Source organism: Homo sapiens, chromosome 1 (genome assembly GCF_000001405.40).
Source record: "Homo sapiens chromosome 1, GRCh38.p14 Primary Assembly".
Taxonomy (NCBI): domain Eukaryota; kingdom Metazoa; phylum Chordata; class Mammalia; order Primates; family Hominidae; genus Homo; species Homo sapiens.
The window spans coordinates 46,433,643-46,452,078 of NC_000001.11; the positions used below are offsets into that span (position 1 = coordinate 46,433,643).

The 18,436-nt window shown below is 52.2% G+C and overlaps 1 long non-coding RNA gene and 1 pseudogene across 2 annotated transcripts, besides 4 other annotated features; one reads left to right on the top strand and one right to left on the bottom strand.

Moving 5' to 3' along the window:
- The first annotated feature begins 184 nt into the window (after nt 1-184).
- Nucleotides 185-12,060, top strand: FAAHP1 (fatty acid amide hydrolase pseudogene 1; annotated as a pseudogene). Its single transcript, NR_045483.1, has 9 exons — nt 185-305; nt 1,565-1,606; nt 2,270-2,394; nt 2,482-2,606; nt 5,881-5,935; nt 7,024-7,063; nt 7,452-7,560; nt 9,250-9,395; nt 11,557-12,060. The product of NR_045483.1 is annotated as a fatty acid amide hydrolase pseudogene 1 (transcript).
- Nucleotides 8,586-8,715: an enhancer, noted in NCBI's record as "active region_1002". NCBI's record gives its function as "activates an Ori minimal core promoter by ATAC-STARR-seq in GM12878 lymphoblastoid cells {active_cell/tissue: GM12878}" and the evidence as "EXISTENCE:reporter gene assay evidence [ECO:0000049][PMID:35858748]".
- Nucleotides 9,236-9,475: an enhancer, noted in NCBI's record as "active region_1003". NCBI's record gives its function as "activates an Ori minimal core promoter by ATAC-STARR-seq in GM12878 lymphoblastoid cells {active_cell/tissue: GM12878}" and the evidence as "EXISTENCE:reporter gene assay evidence [ECO:0000049][PMID:35858748]".
- Nucleotides 12,061-13,030: 970 nt separating the features above from the next.
- Nucleotides 13,031-16,062, bottom strand: LINC01398 (long intergenic non-protein coding RNA 1398). Its single transcript, NR_121680.1, has 3 exons — nt 15,845-16,062; nt 13,810-14,247; nt 13,031-13,503 (listed from the first exon to the last, which is right to left on the bottom strand). It is a non-coding gene; the product is annotated as a long intergenic non-protein coding RNA 1398 (long non-coding RNA).
- Nucleotides 14,177-14,688: an enhancer, noted in NCBI's record as "NANOG-H3K27ac-H3K4me1 hESC enhancer chr1:46913491-46914002 (GRCh37/hg19 assembly coordinates)". NCBI's record gives its function as "activates a minimal SCP1, AML or CMV promoter by ChIP-STARR-seq in naive H9 embryonic stem cells {active_cell/tissue: H9 hESC(naive)}" and the evidence as "EXISTENCE:reporter gene assay evidence [ECO:0000049][PMID:30033119]".
- Nucleotides 14,689-15,202: an enhancer, noted in NCBI's record as "NANOG-H3K27ac-H3K4me1 hESC enhancer chr1:46914003-46914516 (GRCh37/hg19 assembly coordinates)". NCBI's record gives its function as "activates a minimal SCP1, AML or CMV promoter by ChIP-STARR-seq in naive H9 embryonic stem cells {active_cell/tissue: H9 hESC(naive)}" and the evidence as "EXISTENCE:reporter gene assay evidence [ECO:0000049][PMID:30033119]".
- Nucleotides 16,063-18,436: the final 2,374 nt, after the last annotated feature.

Genomic DNA, 18,436 nt, shown 5'->3' on the forward strand with positions numbered 1-18,436 from the left:
CCCTGGGGTTGACTCTGGAGGGTGGTTGGCCCCCATATGGGGAGAGGTCTGCCGAGTGAGGCTTTCACCCTCAGCTCATTTTCTTCTGCTTCCCTTAGCTTTGAATGCGGCAACTCCCATCTATGGCCAGATGTTGAGCCCACTGAACTTAAAGAAGACATGTGGGGGCTCCTCAGGGGGTGAGGGGCTCTGCTGGCAGAAAGGGGGTCCATCCTAGGCATGGGTACTGACACAGGTGACAGCATCTGCATACCAGCCAGCTTCTGTGGTGTTTATGGCCTCTGGACCACAGGTTCCCGCCTCAGGTACTCATTGATGGTGGTGGTGGGGTGGGCTCGGACCTGCCTAAGGGAACTAGAGGGTGGGGAAGTAGAGGGGTCTGCTCCTCCCATCAACTTTCATCTACCCAACTCAGTACTAGGGGAAGTGGGTAGGAGGGCTTCAAATAACTCCTGCAGTAGCCATGCTAAACATACCATATTTTTCCAGGTGGCAGTAGAATAGACCTTCCACTCATTAACTCATCAGCTCATTAATTCATTAATCTATACAGCTATCCATCCACATACCCCTTCTCTTACTCATCAATCTGTCCATGTATCTATCTGTCCTTCATCCATTCAATCACCCACATGGTCATCATCTCAGTCTCTATCCATCAATCAATTTTACCATTCATCCACTATTTATTTAAAAGATTTCTATTGACTATTTACTGTGTCAGACACAACAGCTCCTTGGGTACTAGCTACTTGGGTTACTTCGGTGAACAAAAGAGACAAATATCTCAGCCCTTGAAAAACTTACACATACTCTTCCTTCCAACCATTTATCCATCCATCTTTCCATCCATCCATTTGTGTATCCATCCATCAATCCACATTTGTATCTCTCCATCCATCCATCCATCCATCCATCCATCCATCCATCCATCCATCCATCCATCCGTTCATCGTATATGCATGCATGCATCCACCCATCTCTCAACCCCTCTCTGTGTACCCACACCATGGCCCCTATTCTGGGGACATAGACCACTCTTGGACCCAGCCCCTGCCCCTGCTGTGCTCTTAGACACACAAATGAGTTAGTCAGAAAGTGATCAGGTCTGTAAGAGAGGGTCAAAGCTTACAAGAGGAAGCTGACATTTTCTTTAACAGAGATTTATTAAAAGCTTATACTCTTGACTTTCAGAGGCAGGGCAAGGGAAGGGAAGGATTCCTGGAGGAGGCAGCATTTGAGCGTGGTTTTGAGGGCCAGACATGCCAAGATGATGTGGCGTCTAGAAGGCTGTAAGATTGTTTGTAAGCGGCTGACTTTGCCTGCAGCAATATGCACGTGTGGAAGGGCTAGAAGGGGAAGCCATGGAGAGTTAGAGTCTTGAAAAGCAGTCAAAGAGATCAGACTATGCTGTGGGCAGCAGAGGGTCAGGGAATGTTGAAGCAGCTCCTATTTTTGTGGGCTGCGCCCTGGGGGAGCACATCGCCTGGGTGCTCAAGCCTCCTAGCACCCAGGCCCCTCCCTTCACATGCTGAGCTGGGCTCTGGGTCGGAATGTTTTGCAGCTACACTGGAATTGCCTCTGCCATCAAGGGGAAAAAAATCGGGTAAGTCCTGGTCTGTGCCTGTGGCCACCCCATTTAAAGATGAAACTGCCAGTCTTTCTCCCAAGGACATTTTGCTCAGCTCATATCTCCAGACAGATCAGCCCCACAGATGATGACTGAGAGGGCAGACTGCATGGTTCCCACCTGGCCTCCCCTTGTCCAGTGACTCTTGGCCCTCTGAGAAGGGCTTTTGTCCTGCTATCTAGCTTTAATCTCTTCCTTCGTCCTGACCATGACCCTGGAACCCACCCTCTGAGGCCAGGCAGTTGGGATCCCCAGGGCACAACAAATGAGAGGTGCTTGCTGGGCGCAGTGGCTCATGCCTGTAATCCCAGCACTTTGGGAGGCTGAGGTGGGCGATCACTTGAGGTCAGGAATTCGAGACCAGCCTGGCCAACATGGTGAAACCCCGTCTCTACTAGAAATACAAAAATTAGCCAGGTGTGGTGGCGGGCACCTGTAATTCCAGCTACTGGGGAGGCTGAGGCAGGAGAATCACTTGAACCCGGGAGGTGGAGGTTGTAGTAAGCAGAGATGGTGCCACTGCACTCCAGCCTGGGTGACAGAGAAAAACTTCGTCTCAAAAACCAACAAACAAAAAACAAAACACAACAAGCAAACAAAACGAGAGGTGCCTGCCTCTCTCCCCTCCTCTTTGTGCAGTGACCACGGTGGCTGGCCCCATGGCCCAGGACGTGGAGAGCCTGGCGCTGTGCCTGCAAGCCCTGCTGAGTGAAGACATGTACCGACTGGACCCCACTGTGCTCCAGATGCCCTTTAGGGAGGAGGTAAGCCAGGTGGGAGAGCAGACCTGGGGGTTTCCTTGCCCCCCACCATCATTCCTCCCTGACCTGTCTGCCATCTTACCTTCCCAGGTGAAGACCCCCTTTCCCACCCCAGGCTGCAGTGAGTGAGAAGCCCACATGCTCAGTCCAGTTTGTTTCCTTCCCCTGCTGGACACCAGCTGCTTTGGCTTCTTGGCTATCTGGAGCCATAGCTTGTAAGTGCCCCCAAAGAGGGCCTCCAGTGCCATATACCCAACCCATGCAGTTAGAATACTCAGCAAGTGTGGTTGAGAGGGTGTGGCATCCAGTTAAGCTGGGTTTTTAACCCTCTAGGTAACCCTGGCCAAGTCACATCTCTTCTTTCAGCCTTAGCCTCCCCATCAATACAATAAAGAGGTTAGGCTGGGAGATTACTCCACACCCTTCTGTCTACAGCAGCCTTCATTTATTCGTTAATTCATTCAACAACATTTGCTTGTACCAGTTGTGTGCCAGGCTCTGCGTGTCTCATCCTAACACTCTATAGAGTGAGCAGTGCTCCTCCCATTTACAGCTGGGGAGACTGAGGGGAAGTGAAATGACTTGCCTAAGATCATGTAGTTAGTAACTGGCAGAGCTGGCTTTGAACCCAGCCCTATCTAACTGCAGAACCCTCTCCATAGGGCAGTTTCTGTCTACGTCCCGGCAATGTCTGTTCCTCGGATTCCCTACACCCCTCCTAGCATTATCAACCTGAGATCATTGTATATCATCCATGATTTGCCCCTACAAACATGTGTTGTGTGACGGGTGAGGGGCGGCTGCCTTTCTGGCAGCACCCCACTTCCCAGGACTAGGGGCCCTCCATCTCAGACCCTGGTCTGGGTATTTGTCCCTATAGATCTCCAGCCTCATATTCTCCTAACATTTCTTTAGCTTAAAGATATTTGAGTCTATGCATGACTTACTCACCTGCCCACCCACTCAACTCCAACCATCCATTCACCCACTCACCCACATATGCATTCAACCCTCTGCCCACCCAACTACCCACCATCTCATACATACATCCACCCACCCACCCAGGAGTCTGTCTACCATCTATCTACTATCCACCCCATCTGCCCAACCACCCATCTCATCCATTTCTCTTTCCTCCAGGGGTTTCCGCAGAGCACCTAGAGCCTGGAGAGTATATAGGGAGGCTCCCAGGGGGTCTTGGGGTGTCCACATGGATTCCCCCCTTTGTGAGGACAGCTGTAGACCAAGGCCCTGCCCTTAAAGTCTGGCTCCTGGATAGAGTGGGGCCACCTTGTCCCCAGCACAATCTCTCCTCCGAGCTCCATCCAGCCCCTTGTGCCCCTAGGTTTACACCAGTAACCGGCCCCTTCGAATTGGCTACTATGAATCAGATGGTTACATCCAGCCATCCCCTAGCATGGCCAGGGCTGTGCAGCTCACCTCCTGGCTGCTCCAGGATGCTTGACACCAGGTAGTCTCACCTGGTCCTGGGTGAGAGAGAGTCTGGGCCAGTGCGAGGATGCTGGGCGGGGCCATCCTTGGAGACAAAGGTGGCTACATCTGCGTTTGAGGTGCTGAGATAACTGTGTTCCCCCTATGCTTCCTGGAGAAGACTGATGGGATGGAGGTGGGGATAGGGTGAGCCCTACCCTAGAAGGAAGGCATTAAGCTTTTGTGCTTCCTCCTTCGGTGGTGGAGATTCAGGGACTCACTCCTATAATTCCTTCAGCTTGGGTCTCTGTTGCCTCCATCAAGTGGCCGTAAGGAGCTTTCTGTCTCCAAAATCCCTACCTTAGCCCTACCCCAAACTCCCCTGCCCCCAGTGGCTTGTCCTGGCCTCACTTCCCCTTTGAGATTCTACCATGTGATCTTGGGCTAGCCTTTTAACCTCTCTGGGCTTGTTTTCTACCCAATGCGGTGGCTGTGAAGATTAAATGTGGTTCCATAGATAAAGCACTTGGCACGCTGGCTGGATCACAGTGAAGCATGAAGGAAATGAGGGCTGCTCTCGTTCTGTTCTGTCACATCTGTGTGTGAGGGTGAGGGAGTGGGGTGGCAGGAGAGCAACCAGTGACACAGGCCTCCCATGCCATGCTGAGGCGCTGAGGTGGACGGAGATGCACGAGATGATGTGGCATCCTTCTTGAAATCTTGGGGGATGCAGAGACAGAGAACCAGGCAGGGTCGGGGAAGCTCCAGACACTGACTCTGCCTCTGCCTCCCCAGGTTATCCCCTTCTCCATCCCCCAGGCAGAATACGCCATCAAAGACTTGTACACGGGGGGATGTTTACTGATGGAGGGGCCACTCTTCTAGAGAAGCTATACGTTATCTGCTGGGACTCAGGGGTGGGGCATGGTGGAAACAAGGTAGGGGAGTGGGCTGGAGCCAACCTGAGTCCCAGGAGGGAAACTGGGGGCCTGGGCTGGGGTGCCTCTGCCTAATAGTGTGACCTTATGCCGCAAACCACACACTGGGCCTGTCTTTAGGATGCACCTGTTCCGGGGGTGGGGCAGAAGTACATCTTTGGGTTTGGCCTCCTTCTTGTCTACGGCGTGGAAGTTGGGTGGCTGTGGGGGCAGGCCACTGGCTAAGGGCTGTGACTTACCCATCTGCGACTGGTTCCTCAGAGAGGGGGACATTGTGGATCCCAGCATAAAGGGCATGGTCAACCAGCTCTGCCTGCCAGACCCCTTCAAATGTTTCTTGGCCTGGATCCCAAAGTACATAGTAAGTGCAGGCCCTAGTCAGGGAGGGCTTTGGAAGGGCAGGGAGCACAGGGAGTAGGAGGGGCTCAGAAAGCAGAGGGAGCTCACAGAAGGAGTGGAAGTGGGGTCAGAGAGGAGGATGAGGCCCAGAGAATGGTGGTAGCTCAGAGAGGGGTTCAAAATGGGGAAGAAGAATGAAGGGCTGGGTGCACAGTGGCTCATGTATGTAATCCCAGCACTTTGGGAGGCCAAGGTAGGAAGATCACTTGAGCCCAGGAGTCTGAGACCAGCCTGGGCAACATAGTGAGACTCCATTCTCTAAAAAGAATGGAAAAAAAAATAGCTGGGCATGGTGGTGCATGCCTGTGGTCCCAGCTACTCAGGAGGCTGAGGTGGGAGTATCACTTGAGCCCAGAAGATCAAGGCTGCAGTGAGCTGAGATTATGCACTGCACTCCAGCTTGGGTGACAAGTAAGACTCTGACTCAAAAAAAATAAAAAAAAATTAATTAAAACAAATAATGAAAGAAGGGGATGGGGCTAAAAGAGTAGGGTGCTCACAGAGAGGGGAGGGGGTTTCAGAGAGGAGGCTCAGAAAGGGGGAAGGGCATTTGGAGGGCTACAGGGCCAGTGTGAGCTCAGGGCTTGGTGAAGTGGTGTAGGCTTGTTGAGGATCGGAGGGTTCCACGTCAGTGCGTTGAGCAATGCTACCCTTCTTGGACCCCCTCCTGGGCAGGCTGACTGTTTCCCTGTGGGTTCTGAAGTTGGACTCCCCCTCTCAGCCCCCCTCTAGGATCCCCAAACTAGCCAGCATCTTGAAGAGATTCGTGGAGTGGGGTGAGTCTCCCTAGGGCCAGCTCTTGCTCCAATGGTTGTCCATGGGATGGTGGGAATTGAGGAGGGGCATGAGGCTAGAGCTGGTATCCACTAAGGGGGGATCTATTTAGATTTCGGACTCTAATTAGGGTTTTAGGATCATGCCTGACATTAGCTTAGATTGAGACTTTTGATTGGTGTTGGGACTTTATTTGGAGTTAAGATCTGAATTAAGGCCGGGTGTGGTGGCTCATGCCTGTAATCCCAGCACTTTGGGAGGCTGAGCGGGGAGGATCACTTGAGGCCAGGGGTTCAAGACCAGCCAGGACAACATGATGAAACCCTGTCCCTACTAAAAATACAAAAATCAGCGGGTGTGGTGGTATGTGTCTTTATCCCAGCTACTCGGGAGGCTGAGGCACGAGAATCACTTGAACCCAGGAGGTGGAGCTTGCAGTGGGCCAAGATGGTGCCACTGCACTCTAGCCTGGGTGATAGAGATAGACTCTGTCTCAAGGGAAAAAAAAATCTGAATTAAGGCTAGGTTGAGGTAAAATTTGGGACTGAAGTTGAGATTAGGTTTTATTTGGGGATGGGCTTAAGACTGAGGCTGGGGTTGGAGTTGGTTTGAGTTGGGGTTGGTGGGGCGAAGATAGATTTGGAAGAGGGTTGGGACTGAGGCTGGAGTTGGGGTGGGGCTAGAGTTAGGGTTAGAGATGAGGTTGGGAGAGGCTGGTATGGGCTTGGGTTTGCTGTTGGGCTTGGCCTGGTGGGGTTGGCATGAAGATGCTGGGCAGAATTGGGCTGGAGTGGACTGAGGGCTAACTGGGTGCCTCACAGATTAGGGTAAGGAGCCTGTGGCCTTTGAGGCAGCCCATGAGTTCCTGTGACTGGTGGAATGGGGGGTAGATTGACCAGAGGATGTGTGCTCTTGGGGACCTTGAGCAGGCAAGATGTCTTGGCCAGGGGACAAGACACGGGGTCACTCCCAGCCCATCAGCTGATTTGCAGCGTGCACTGAGGCCTTGGTTGTCATGTCCCCATTTGTATAAAAGGGTTCCCTCCCATGCTGACCTTTGAACTTGTCAGAGTCTTCCTCATTCTTTCAGGACACCCAAGAAACTGTGGGAACAGCACACAGCAGTGGAGGTAATGCCTGTCTGGGAAGACCTTGAGGGGCTGCTGGAGCTGGGGCTGCAGACACCTGGGTAGTGCCCTGAGTGGTCAGAGTTATGAACTGGCCTGCAGAGAAGGCCCAGCTGGACCTGGGTGGGGGGGCTTGGTGACCTCAGAAGTTATTCTAGTCCATCTCCCTAGAGCATTGTCCCCAAATCCTTGTGACCTGAAATTCAGCTTCCCATCCCTTCACCTCTGTCCCTGGGAAGATCCTGAACCTCCACAGGTATCTCAGGCTGAAGCTTATAGCCTGAGACTTCCTCCTGGTGTGCAACTCAGTGCTGCCTGGCAGCATCTGACCTTGTCTGGCAAACAGTAACCCCTGCCTTCCTACCCCTCCCATCCCTCACTGTCCCTGCAGGAATATGAGCAAGAGTTCATAGCCAAGTGGAGGTCCCTGGACCTGGATGTGCTGCTGGTGCCAGTTCTGGGCTCTGCCTTCTATATAGGCTCTTCCTCCCTAGCATCAGGTGAGAGCACACTGGGTCTTGGTGGGGTTGAGATTGGGAGTCCGGGACTCCTGAGTCCTGCCCCAGCTTCTGTGATCTTGCCCTCTATCTCCATTAACTTTTTAAAAATATTTCTTAAATTGAGATAAAAGTCAGATAACACAAACTTACCATTTTAAAGTGTACAATTAAGTGGTTTTTAATATTTCAAAATGTCGTGCAACCACCACCATTATCTAATGTCTGAACATTTCTGTTACCCTGAAAGGAAAACTTGTACCTGTTAGCAATTTCCATTCACTTTAAAAATGAACTTTATGGAAGTATAATTTACATGCAATAAAATTCACCGATTTTAAGTATAATTTGATGAATTTTGACAAATGTATACTGTTGTATAACCACCACTATAATCAGAAATACAGAACAGAATATATTTTTAGATTTTACAGATACATGTTCCATCACCCCCAAATTTCCCTCATGTCTCTGCAGTTCACTCTATCCCTAACCCCAGTAACCACTGATCTGCTTTCTGTCACCATAGTTTTGCCTTTTCTAGAATTTCATACAAATGGAATCAAAGGGTATGAAGCTTTTGTGTTTGGCTTCTTCCACCTAGCACATCCATTTACTGTTTTTTTTTTTTTTTTTTTTTTTTTTTTTTTTTTTTTGAGACAGAGTCTTGCTCTGTCACCCAGGCTGGAGCGCAGTGGCATGATCTCAGCTCACTGCAACCTCCTCTGCCTCCTGATTTCAAGCAATTCTCCTGCCTCAGCCTCCCAAGTAGCTGGAATTACAGGTGTGTGCCACCACGTCCAGCTAATCTTTGCATTTTTAGTAGAGACGGGGTTGCGCCATGTTGGCTAGGCTGGTCTCAAACTCCTAACCTCAGGTGATCCACCCACCTCAGCCTCCCAAAGTCCTGGCATTACAGGCGTGAGCCACTGTGCCCAGCCCATCCATTTACTCTTAACATGCCCTCTGCTGCCCTACTTCAAAAGGGGTCTTCAGCCCAGCCTGTCCAAAACATGGGCTCAGGACAGGGTAATATCTGGGCCATCCCTGGGTCCCATGCACAGGTACTGGTCTCAAAGGTGCTACCCAAGGCAGGATAAAACTCAGTTCCAAACCTGAGCCTGGACTCCTCTCCCCTGACCTTAAGAACATGTCCTCCTGGGTCCCCCGACTGTGGCCAGCCAAAGGCTCATCCCACGCCTGACTCTCCCTGCACACATGTGGCTGCTGCAGAAGAGCTGTCCTTTCAACTCCAGGTGGCGCTGTACACCCTTACTATCTTGAAGTCCGGTACACAGGAGGGCGTGGGCTGAATCCTCTGCCATCCACTAGCTGTGTAGCCTTAGAAAAGGCTAATCCTGCCCCTAATCCTGCCACCTCGATTTCCTCACTTGTACACAGTCAATAGTAATCCACACCTCACAGAGTGGAGAGGATTCAAGGGATCAGCAATGTGATGAGGCCAGCACAGTGCCTGGCACTGAGTGAGGCTTCTGCAATGCAGATTCCGTCCTTCCCTCCACCCTGGGGAGAGCATGAGGCCATTGTCAAGATGACCCCTGACACAAATTGGCTAGTCCGAGCCCAGAGCGCTGAAGTTCCCAGAAGGACCGGGAGGGGGCGCCCACCCACATTCTTCCCCACCTGAGTCTGCGCTGACGATTTCCTGGGCTTATCTGGATCTTCCTGCAGAAAGTCAGTCTTATGTGACCCTGTACAACCTCCTGGACTTTCCCGCGGGCGTGGTGCCTGTCACTATCGTGACACTACAGGACGAGGAGGAACTGGCCTTCTACAAGGGGTGCTACGGAGATAGTTCTGACAAAAATTTCTCAGAGGTCAGTTTCCTTCTCCGAGCCTCTCCCGGAGCGGGGACAAACCAGGGCTGGTTCTCTCCGGGTTGGGGCCCCTGACGGTAGTGGTGGAGAGAGTAGGGCGGGACTGGTCATTCCTGGTGTTCACCCTTTGGCACTTATGCTAGTTTCACCCCAACCCTGAGGACACATCATTTGACCTCCTTGTCAGCCCCATCCATGTCAGGGGAGAAAACTTTGCAAAACCAGTGGTTTTCTTTGTATTTCTTCTGCCTCCTCCTCCTCCCCCTCCCCCTCCCCCTCTTCCTCCTTCTCCTCCTCCTCTTCCTCCTCCTCCTCCTTCTCCCCCTCCTTCTTCTTTTTCTTCTTCTCCTCCTCCTCCTCCTCCTCCTCCTCCTTCTCCCCCTCCTTCTCCTTCTCCTTCTTCCTCCTTTTCCTTCTCCTTCTCCTTCTCCTTCTTCCTCCTTTTCCTTCTCCTTCTCCTTCTTTTTTGAGACAGAGTCTTGCTCTATCGCCCAGGCTGGAGTGCAGTGGCACGATCTCGGCTCACTGCAACCTCTGCCTCCTGGGTTCAAGTGATTCTCCTGCCTCAGCCTCCCAAGTAGCTGGGATTACAGGCACCTGCCACCACGCCCGGCTAATTTTTTTTTTTTTTTTTGAGATGGAATCTCACTCTTTTGCCCAGGCTGATGTGCAGTGGTGCAATCTCAGCTCACTGCAACCTCCACATCCTGAGTTTGAGCCATCCTCCTGCCTCTCAGCCTCCCAAGTAGCTGGGACTACAGGCATGCACCACCATGCTCGGCTAATTTTTGTAATTTTAGTAGAGACACGGTTTCACCATGTTGGTCAGGCTGGTCTCAAACTCCTGGCCTCAAGTGATCTGCCTGCCTCGGCCTCCCAATGTGCTGGGATTACAGGTGTGAGCCATTGCGCCCGGCCTTCTTTGCATTGCTGTAGGTAAAAATGATCTCAGAGGCAGGGAGGGCAGAGCAGGGCAAAAGCCGCTGGTTATGAGCTTACTGTGTATCTGCTCTGGATATGACCTCTCTTGGGACCTCTGTTTCTTCACCAGGAAAATGGGAATAAAAACATCTACTTTGTAGGGTTGTGCTAAAGGTTAATTAATTTGAAAAAGTGAATGAAGCAATTTGCATAAGGTCTTGTGTGTAGGAAGTGTTCGATAAATACTATGATTAGTAAGTCAGAGTGGTTTCATAAAAGAAAATATTACCAAATATTTAACTGCAGGGTCTAAAATAACACACCTGACTTTGGTGAGAGAGAGAAGGAGAGAGAGGAAGAGAAAGAGGCCGACTCTGAAACATATGCACGTATCTGAGTCAGACATTAAGTAACTTACTTTTTCTGGAAATTGATTTTAGTGCTAGAGTTACCCAGTGGAACTGCTGACCTGAATTCTGAGAAAATAACAATAATGACACTATCTCATGTGTCTTGAGCACTTACTCTGTTCCAGGAGCTGTTTAAAAGTGCCGTGTATAAATATTAAATCATTAAATTCAATAACTCTCCTGTGAGGTTTTTTAAATGAGGAAAATGGAGGCACAGACAGATTAAGGGACTGGGCCAAAGCCACACAGCCAATTGAAGTGGAGGAGCTAGGACTTGAAACAGGTGATCTGACTCCAGAGACAAAGGCAAATAAAGCCTCAAATGATATCATCACAAAGCAAAGAAAACAGGTTTGAATTCCTACAAGGACGTTTGGATTTCGTGGCAGGGACTCAGGCTTAGCCCCCATGTTCCTGGGCCTGTTTTGGGCCAAGGCAATGCTTTCACTGTGGAAGGGTAACCAGGCTCTGGATCAGGGATTAGCATGCTCTTCTTTCTCTTGCTTGAACATTGAGTGGATGCTCGGCTTTCTCTTTCGTCATTATAATCAGCATTCTGCACAGGGAGCAAGTTTTACATGTTAACCCTGAAGAACTATGGGCAATAAAATCAGAACAGTCTTTTCAGGTTTCACTGAGAGCTGAGGAAGCCTGGAATTCTGAGATCTAGGTCATTTTTACCTTAATATAGATTGGGAAAGGGATGTTTGGACTAAAGCATACCTAGACCAACCGTTGGTACGGAGGCCCAGAATAGCATGGGTGATGAACAGAGCCAGGCAAGGGGCCTGTGAAGCAGGCTCTGAGTTCCCGACCTTCTCTACTGGCAGGCGGTAAGAGGATCCGTCGGAGTTCTGGTGACTGTGCAGTGCATTGCTTTGCCATGGGAAGAGGAGCTGTGTCTCCGGTTCATGAAGGAGGTGGACACCTTGGTCAAGAATCAGAGGGGGCCCAAGTGATAGGCTCCTGGAATGGAGTAACAGCTCATGAAACACGGGGCTGGTTGTGGTGGCTCATACTTGTAATCCCAGCAGTTCAGGAGGCAGAGGCTGGCAGATCGCTTGAGGCCACGAGTTTGAGACCAACCTGGGCAACATAGTGAGACCCTGCTTCTAAAGCATTTTCTTGGTGTTACTCCTGTAGATCCTCACCCAAGTGTGCTCCTGATGCCCCTTCCTTCTCATGAATACCATGTCCACCTTATGTCTCCTCCTTCTGGAACCCCACCAGGTTCCTTTTCTTTGTTGGTCCCTCTGTGTGGGTGCTCAATATTCCTCAGATGGGCCCAGGATGGGGAGCAGGGTGAGGAGCTCAATAAACATTTTCTGACTGGCCCCGGCCTCATGATCTCTGGTCTGGGTGAGGCTGTAATCTCCTGGTGGTCTTCTGCCTCTAGCTGCTTTCCTCCAATTCAGTCCCCCTGATGCTACCCCAGACTGCAGTGGAGAAAGAGCCCCAAACAGAGAGGCTGGAGATCTGGGTCCAAGTCCTGACTCTGTCCGTGACTTGCTGTGTGATGCTGGGAAGTCCCTTCATCTCTCTGGACCTGAGTTTTCTCATCTGAGTTTCAGATTGAGGGGGTTAGATTTGATAAGGTCTATGGTACCTACCAGCTTGACCATTCTGTGAGCTGTGATTTCTAGGCACTGTCCTGATTAAGAACTTGCCATGATTCCCACTGACGTCTGGAGAGGGCTCCAGAGAGCAAGGCTGAGACAGTGGAACCCAGTCAGAGTGGAGCTTGGGTTAGGACCTAGACCCCAGGCTCACAGTTCAGTGCTTTTGCCACAAAACACCAATTCCTTGGTCTGACATCAGCATGTCTCCAGGATCCTCCATAGCCTCCTCTCCCATGGCTCCACCACAGCACTGCCTCCTTCCGTTCCCTCAAACTGGAGCCTTCTCACCAGCACAAGCCCACCTTATGCTTCTGGCTCCATGTCGCTATTCAGATTGTTCCCTCCACCTGAACACCATTGCTGCTTTCTGTGTCCTTCAAACCCTGTGTCAAATACCACTTCCTCCAGAAAGCCTTTCTTGATCCCTCCAACATACCCCCCCCATTATTTTCCCTTCATCTGAACTCTCTTGAGATCCTCCTCCCATCAAATCTCTCCCTTCCCCCATCCCATTCCTCTTTGTAGCCCTACTTCCGCCAACTATGCAAATTAACGAACTCACTTTTCCCTGTGCTTCATAGGACAGATCTTCTGAAGACAATGCAAAGGGATGGAATTCATCCATGCATGCTACATTTTTTGAGTACTCCCACTGAACACAAATGTGAAATTTCAGCCAGAAAAATCCTGACTTAAAAGAATTTAACTCAGATGAAGACCCCAGGAATTGCACAGCAGAGGGGGCAGCCCTGCCTCTGCCTCCCATAGAAGGAACCACTCGGGGTGTCCAGGTGCTGGATGGACAGGGCTATTGCTGACGTCACGTGTCCCCCCACACCAACTCTACCACAGAGTCTGAGATCTCTGCAGGAGAGGGAGCCTCAGAGTTTCCCCTCAGATTGGGTTAGTAGGGCTGGTGCCCTGTGTTCCCTGCCCTGTAAGAGGGAGGTCTGAGTAGCTTGGAAAAGGTAAGAGACCTCAGGTGTCTCCTGCCTCTTCTTCCTGCATCCCATTGCTGGCGCGGCATTCTGGGCACCAGGGGGCAGAATTGAGCTTCACAAGGCTCAGGCAGCCCTTGCCCTCTGCTCTTAGATCCACTGTCGCTGCGACTTCTCCAGTGAGATCCTTTGCTCAAACTCCATTGCGCTGATGGGGAAACTAGCGAGTGGAAGGACAGAGATAGAGGGATGCAGGAATTAGCAGGCACTTTGGCTTTAGGTTAAATATTTGCAGATTTTAAGATGGAGGTAGAATTCTATTTTGGCTGGAATTAGCCTGGGGAAAAGTGGTGGCAGATACCAGCTCGAAGGACTGAATAAATGGGAAGCCCTATGCTAGGCGCAGACTTCTTTTCGGCTTGGGCTTTCTCTAGTATCTCCTGAGCTGATGTTTGGAGTCATCAACCTCCCCACCTCCAGCGCCAGCTCCAGTGCTGACCCCTAACCTCTGACTCGTGACAACTACCTGCCAGCACCATCTTCATCTGAAATCACTCCGTGATCTGTGACTGTGGATGTCATTTGCTGTCTTGCTGTGGGGGCCTCTTTGAGGTCCATGTGTGGGTACATATGGAACCTCCTGGACCATATGTCTCCTCCTCCCCTTCCCACTCCTATTCCTTCCACCATGGAGGGTTTGGTTGGGGTACAACACGGGTCCAGGTTCTGGCTCTCTTTCCTCTGAGACATTGTGCAAGTCTCCAGCTTCTCTAAGCGTCTGTAACTTGGGGCTGAAGATCACGTCTGTCCAGCTGCAGGATGAGACAGACCCTCAGAAACCGAGGGAGCAGGTGGGAGGGACTCGGGCTCCGGCTCCCCAGTCGCTGTGGGGTGAGGGGCCTGCTCAGGTCTGGGTGTCTGTGCCCAGAATTCACGGGGAGGAGCCAGCCCCTCATGCGGGTGCCTGTGAGAGAGCAACAGGGTGGGTCACTCCAGCGGAGGAATTTAGCTGAGAAACAGGAGCATTCCCAGGGTGAGGGGCTCTAGAAAAGCTGGGACTAAGGGCCCTGACTAGGACGTTACGGGAAGGGGGTCTTGAATTCTGATCTCGTTTCTGCCTAAGACCTATCGCCTTTTTGAACCTCAGTTTCCCCTTTGGCTGCATAGGGAAGGGGTGCCCACATGCCCCCGCCCGCATTCAGTTCGAAGGACCAGCCAGTAGGCCCTGCGCCGCCCAGGGACCGCCCGGCCTTTGCGTCCGGCCCAGCTCAAGCCCCTTCCGCCGCGCGCGGCCTCGGGAGCGCTGGGCAGGCAGCCCGGGTGGGAGCGCCCACGTCTCCCGCGGACACGGACGGACGGATGGACGGGCGGCCGCGCAGGCCCGCGCCCCGCTCCCGCCCCGCCTGCCGCGCCTCCCGGGGCGCCCGCATTAAAGCGCATATGCAAGCCATGAATTATCAACTGAAAGGAGTCAATTACCGGCTCTAAAAACGAGTGTCTGCGCTCGCAGCGCCCCGGGCCATCCGCCTATTTACGGAGCGATCTACCCCGCCCGGCTGGGGAGGGGGCCTCGGGAGGGAGAGAGACGGAGAAACGGAGCCCGAGACCGGGAGAGAGCCGGAGAGGCAGGGACTGGAGAGTCTGGGACACGAAGGAGAGGCGGGGAGAGACCGAGATTCAGCGAGACGCGCGGAGGGCCGGACGGGAGCCAAGGCGGCTCAGTTCCTCTTCTCCCCCGAGCAGGCGAGGAGAGGTGGGGTCTCAGGACCTCCAAGGCCCTGTTCCCCTTCCATTGGCATTTGTGTAAGGACGCAGGCCCTCCGCACTGCTGACTGTGGCACTGGGCAGGGAGTCCCCTAGACTAGGGGTTTGGGGTTAGATCTGGGGCTCAGGCAGCGCTGGGCTGGGCGTAGTTTGCAGAGGGACCGGCCGTCCTGGCAGGAAACTGGGGAGGAGGCCGCGGCTTTGTCCAGGGTGGAGGTAAGAACGATGGTTGGACAGCATGACCACGAGTAAAGGGAGGAGGGCTTGAGGATAGGGACAAAGTGATGTGGAGCTTATGTAGGAGATGATGCGCAGCCTTTCAGCATTGAGAGAGAAACCGGGAGACCAGCCAGCCTCAGTGGGCCCAGGAAGTCCTGCTTCCTCCCCACCCGCTCAAGCTGTTCCCTCCTCTGGAAATGCTTTTCCTGCCTTCCCTCTACTCATTCTGTGATTCCTGCCCTCCCCAGCCTCTGTGCTACCTTAGCCTCAACACAATACACTCATTATTATTATTATTATTAGTGACAGGGCCTCACTCTGTCACCCAGGCTGGAGTGCAGTAGTGCAATCATAGCTCACTGCTGCCCTAACCTCCTGGGCTAAAGTGATCCTCCCACCTCTGTCTCCCAAGTAGCTGGGACTGTAGGCACATGCCACCATGCCCTCCTAATTTTTTAAATTTTTTGTAGACATGGGTCTTGCTGTGTTGTCCAGCCTGGTCTGGAACTCCTGGCCTCAAGCAACCCTCCCACCTCAACCTCCCAGTGTTGGGATTACAGGCATGAGTCCCACGATACCTGGCAACACACCCCATTCAATTCCATGATCCAGACCTGACTTTACCATAGGGCCAGACCTTGTCCATGTTGCTCAGTATTGTGCCCTTGGAAGAAGGTCCTTGAATGTTTCCTGAAAAAATGAATGAAGGAGTAAGCTGAGCTGGAGGACACATTGGCCTGGACAGAGGCTGTGACAAAGATGGCAGGGCTGGTGAGCCCAGATATGGGCCTCCCATACAGATCAGATGGAAGGCTTTAGGCAACCACAGTACTGGGGTGAGGTCACAGAAGCTGAGTCCAGCCCTTGCTTGGGGAGACGGGTACAGGAAGTAGCAGGGGCAGGGAGGGAAGGGGTAGATGGAGAGTTGTCATCAGCACCAGCAAGTCACCGCAAGAGCCCCGGGGCTTTGATTTGAATGCTTCACGGCCCCTGAAATCCTAGGTCTCTTCTGGGGGAAGAGGTTCAGGGAACCCCCAGTGACTTTGAGGAAGGAATGGGGCCTACACTGGGGCAGTGAGAAGATTCTCATCTTGGGAATCAAACAGAGCCTTTCTCTTCTAGCTGTGGGATCCCAGGCAAGCCTCAACTTCTGAGCCTCAGGTTCCTCATCTATGAAATGTTGCTGGCCAGGGGAGGTGCCTCACGCCTGTAATCCTGGCACTTTTGAGCTCAGGAGCAACAGACTTTGTCTCTATAAAAAAAACTAGCTGGGCGTGGTGGTTCATGCCTGTGGTCCCAGCTACTCAGGAGGCTGAGGTGCCATTTTTGAGGCTACAAAATACCAAGCACTATGATAATGGATTATCTCTCTACTCTTCACAACAGCTTCTTTCTAAGATTGCTAAGTCATTTTGCAAACAAGGAAATTCTAAGACAGGCAGGGATTGGGAAATGGCAGATAAAGTTTTGAAGCCAGTTCTTACTCCAGAGTCTCTTTAACCTGTGCACCATGAAGCCTCCTAGACCTGGTCCATATACCCCCTGCCCTGTTCCCTCAGCCCTTCCAGCCTGGCTGAGTCCAGACTGGGGGAAGTGGGGGCTGCACAGCAGGCAGGGCAGCTCAGGTCCAGCAGAGGTGGCCCCTGGGGTCTTGTTCCTGCCATGGCGTGGGGTGGGCGTCTGTCCAGCTTGATGAGTCTCCAGCCCCGCCATGCCATTAGCGGGCAGCCAGAGGGGGTGTCTGCAATCGCCAACACTGGGGTTCCCACTGCTGCTTGCCTATTAGTGGCTGGTGGCTTCATGGTGATTTATTGGGGCTTCTTCATTTCCCCTTGGTCCGCTATAAACATATTTATACCACCAGAGTGACCGATAAATTTCCCTTATGAATCCTGTTATCTCCCCTATTAACCATCCGTCACCTTTTATGTGGCCACAGTGGGCCAGGCCAGGGCACCAGGGCTGGGTGGGAGGCCTGCAGCCCACAGCCCCGGAGCCCAGTGAACTCTTCACCTCCCCCACTGCTCCCCAGACAGGGCAGCTGCTGCCTCCTCGGAGCTGCCTCTAGGATAAGGATATGGTCCTGGGAACAGACTGAACTTACGCGGGGCCTTTGAAATGTGGCTTCCTCCAGGGTCTCAGTATGGGAAGTCCCTCTCAGGGTTAACCTGAGTCTCTCCTACTGTAGCTCAGCCTTCATCTCTTCTAAGTGATCAGGAGCCTCCTGAAGCTGCTACTGCTGCTGCTCTTCCTTCTCTCCCCACCCTCAGCTCTCATCCTTATCCTCTAAGTGCAGCAGAAAACTGAGACACAGTTAGATGTAGCATGGGGTTGGGGGGAGATGGCAGCTGGCATTTGCTGAGCATCTCCTCTATGCCAGTCACTTTGCATTCATGACTTCATGTGATCGTCACACAATCCTAGACCCAGGCATTTATGGCTTCATTTGCCAGATGAGGATGAGGAAATAAGGCTCAGAGACATTAAATGAAGAGCCCAAGATCACCCAGCCAAAGGGCAGAGCTGTGATTTGGGGCTTTTCTGGCCCCAAAGCTGGTGCTTTCAACCACTGCACTATACAGCCTCTTTGAATGCTCTTGGCTGGGAGAGGTTAATCAAAGAAAGTTTTCCAGAGTGCTATGGAGCAGGAGAGGGAAGTAAAGAGAGGGGAGGAGAGGGGGCCCCCTGTGGAAGGCTGATCGGGAGAAGTGGGCAGGGATGTGGAGTAGGGAGTAACCTCTTTTGCTTTCCAGTCAGGGAAACTTGGACAACTGTTCAGTCAGGCCCCATGTTGCTGGGAGTAGGGGGTAAGGTCTCTAAGAGCTGGAAGCCACCTGTATTGCCAGAGCCTGGGCTAGAGGACTAGGGCCTGGCTCAGACCTCCTCAGCTGTATGCTTGGGACAGAGCACCCCTCATATTTAGGACTCAACCTTCTCCTGCACCTGGGCTTGGAGGATTCTACCTCTTGACTACTTGATATACCAGCTTCCTTGGGAGATGGCTGGGTGTGTATATATATTGGGATGCCTGGGAGTCTTGTTTCCTTTAACATCACCCACAAAATCGGCCACAACTACTGACAACTCCTCTGGAGTTAAGATGACCCCCATGGTCCAATGAAGAATTCTGAGACTTGAGGAGACTGAGGTCTACCCTCTGAGTCCTGGCA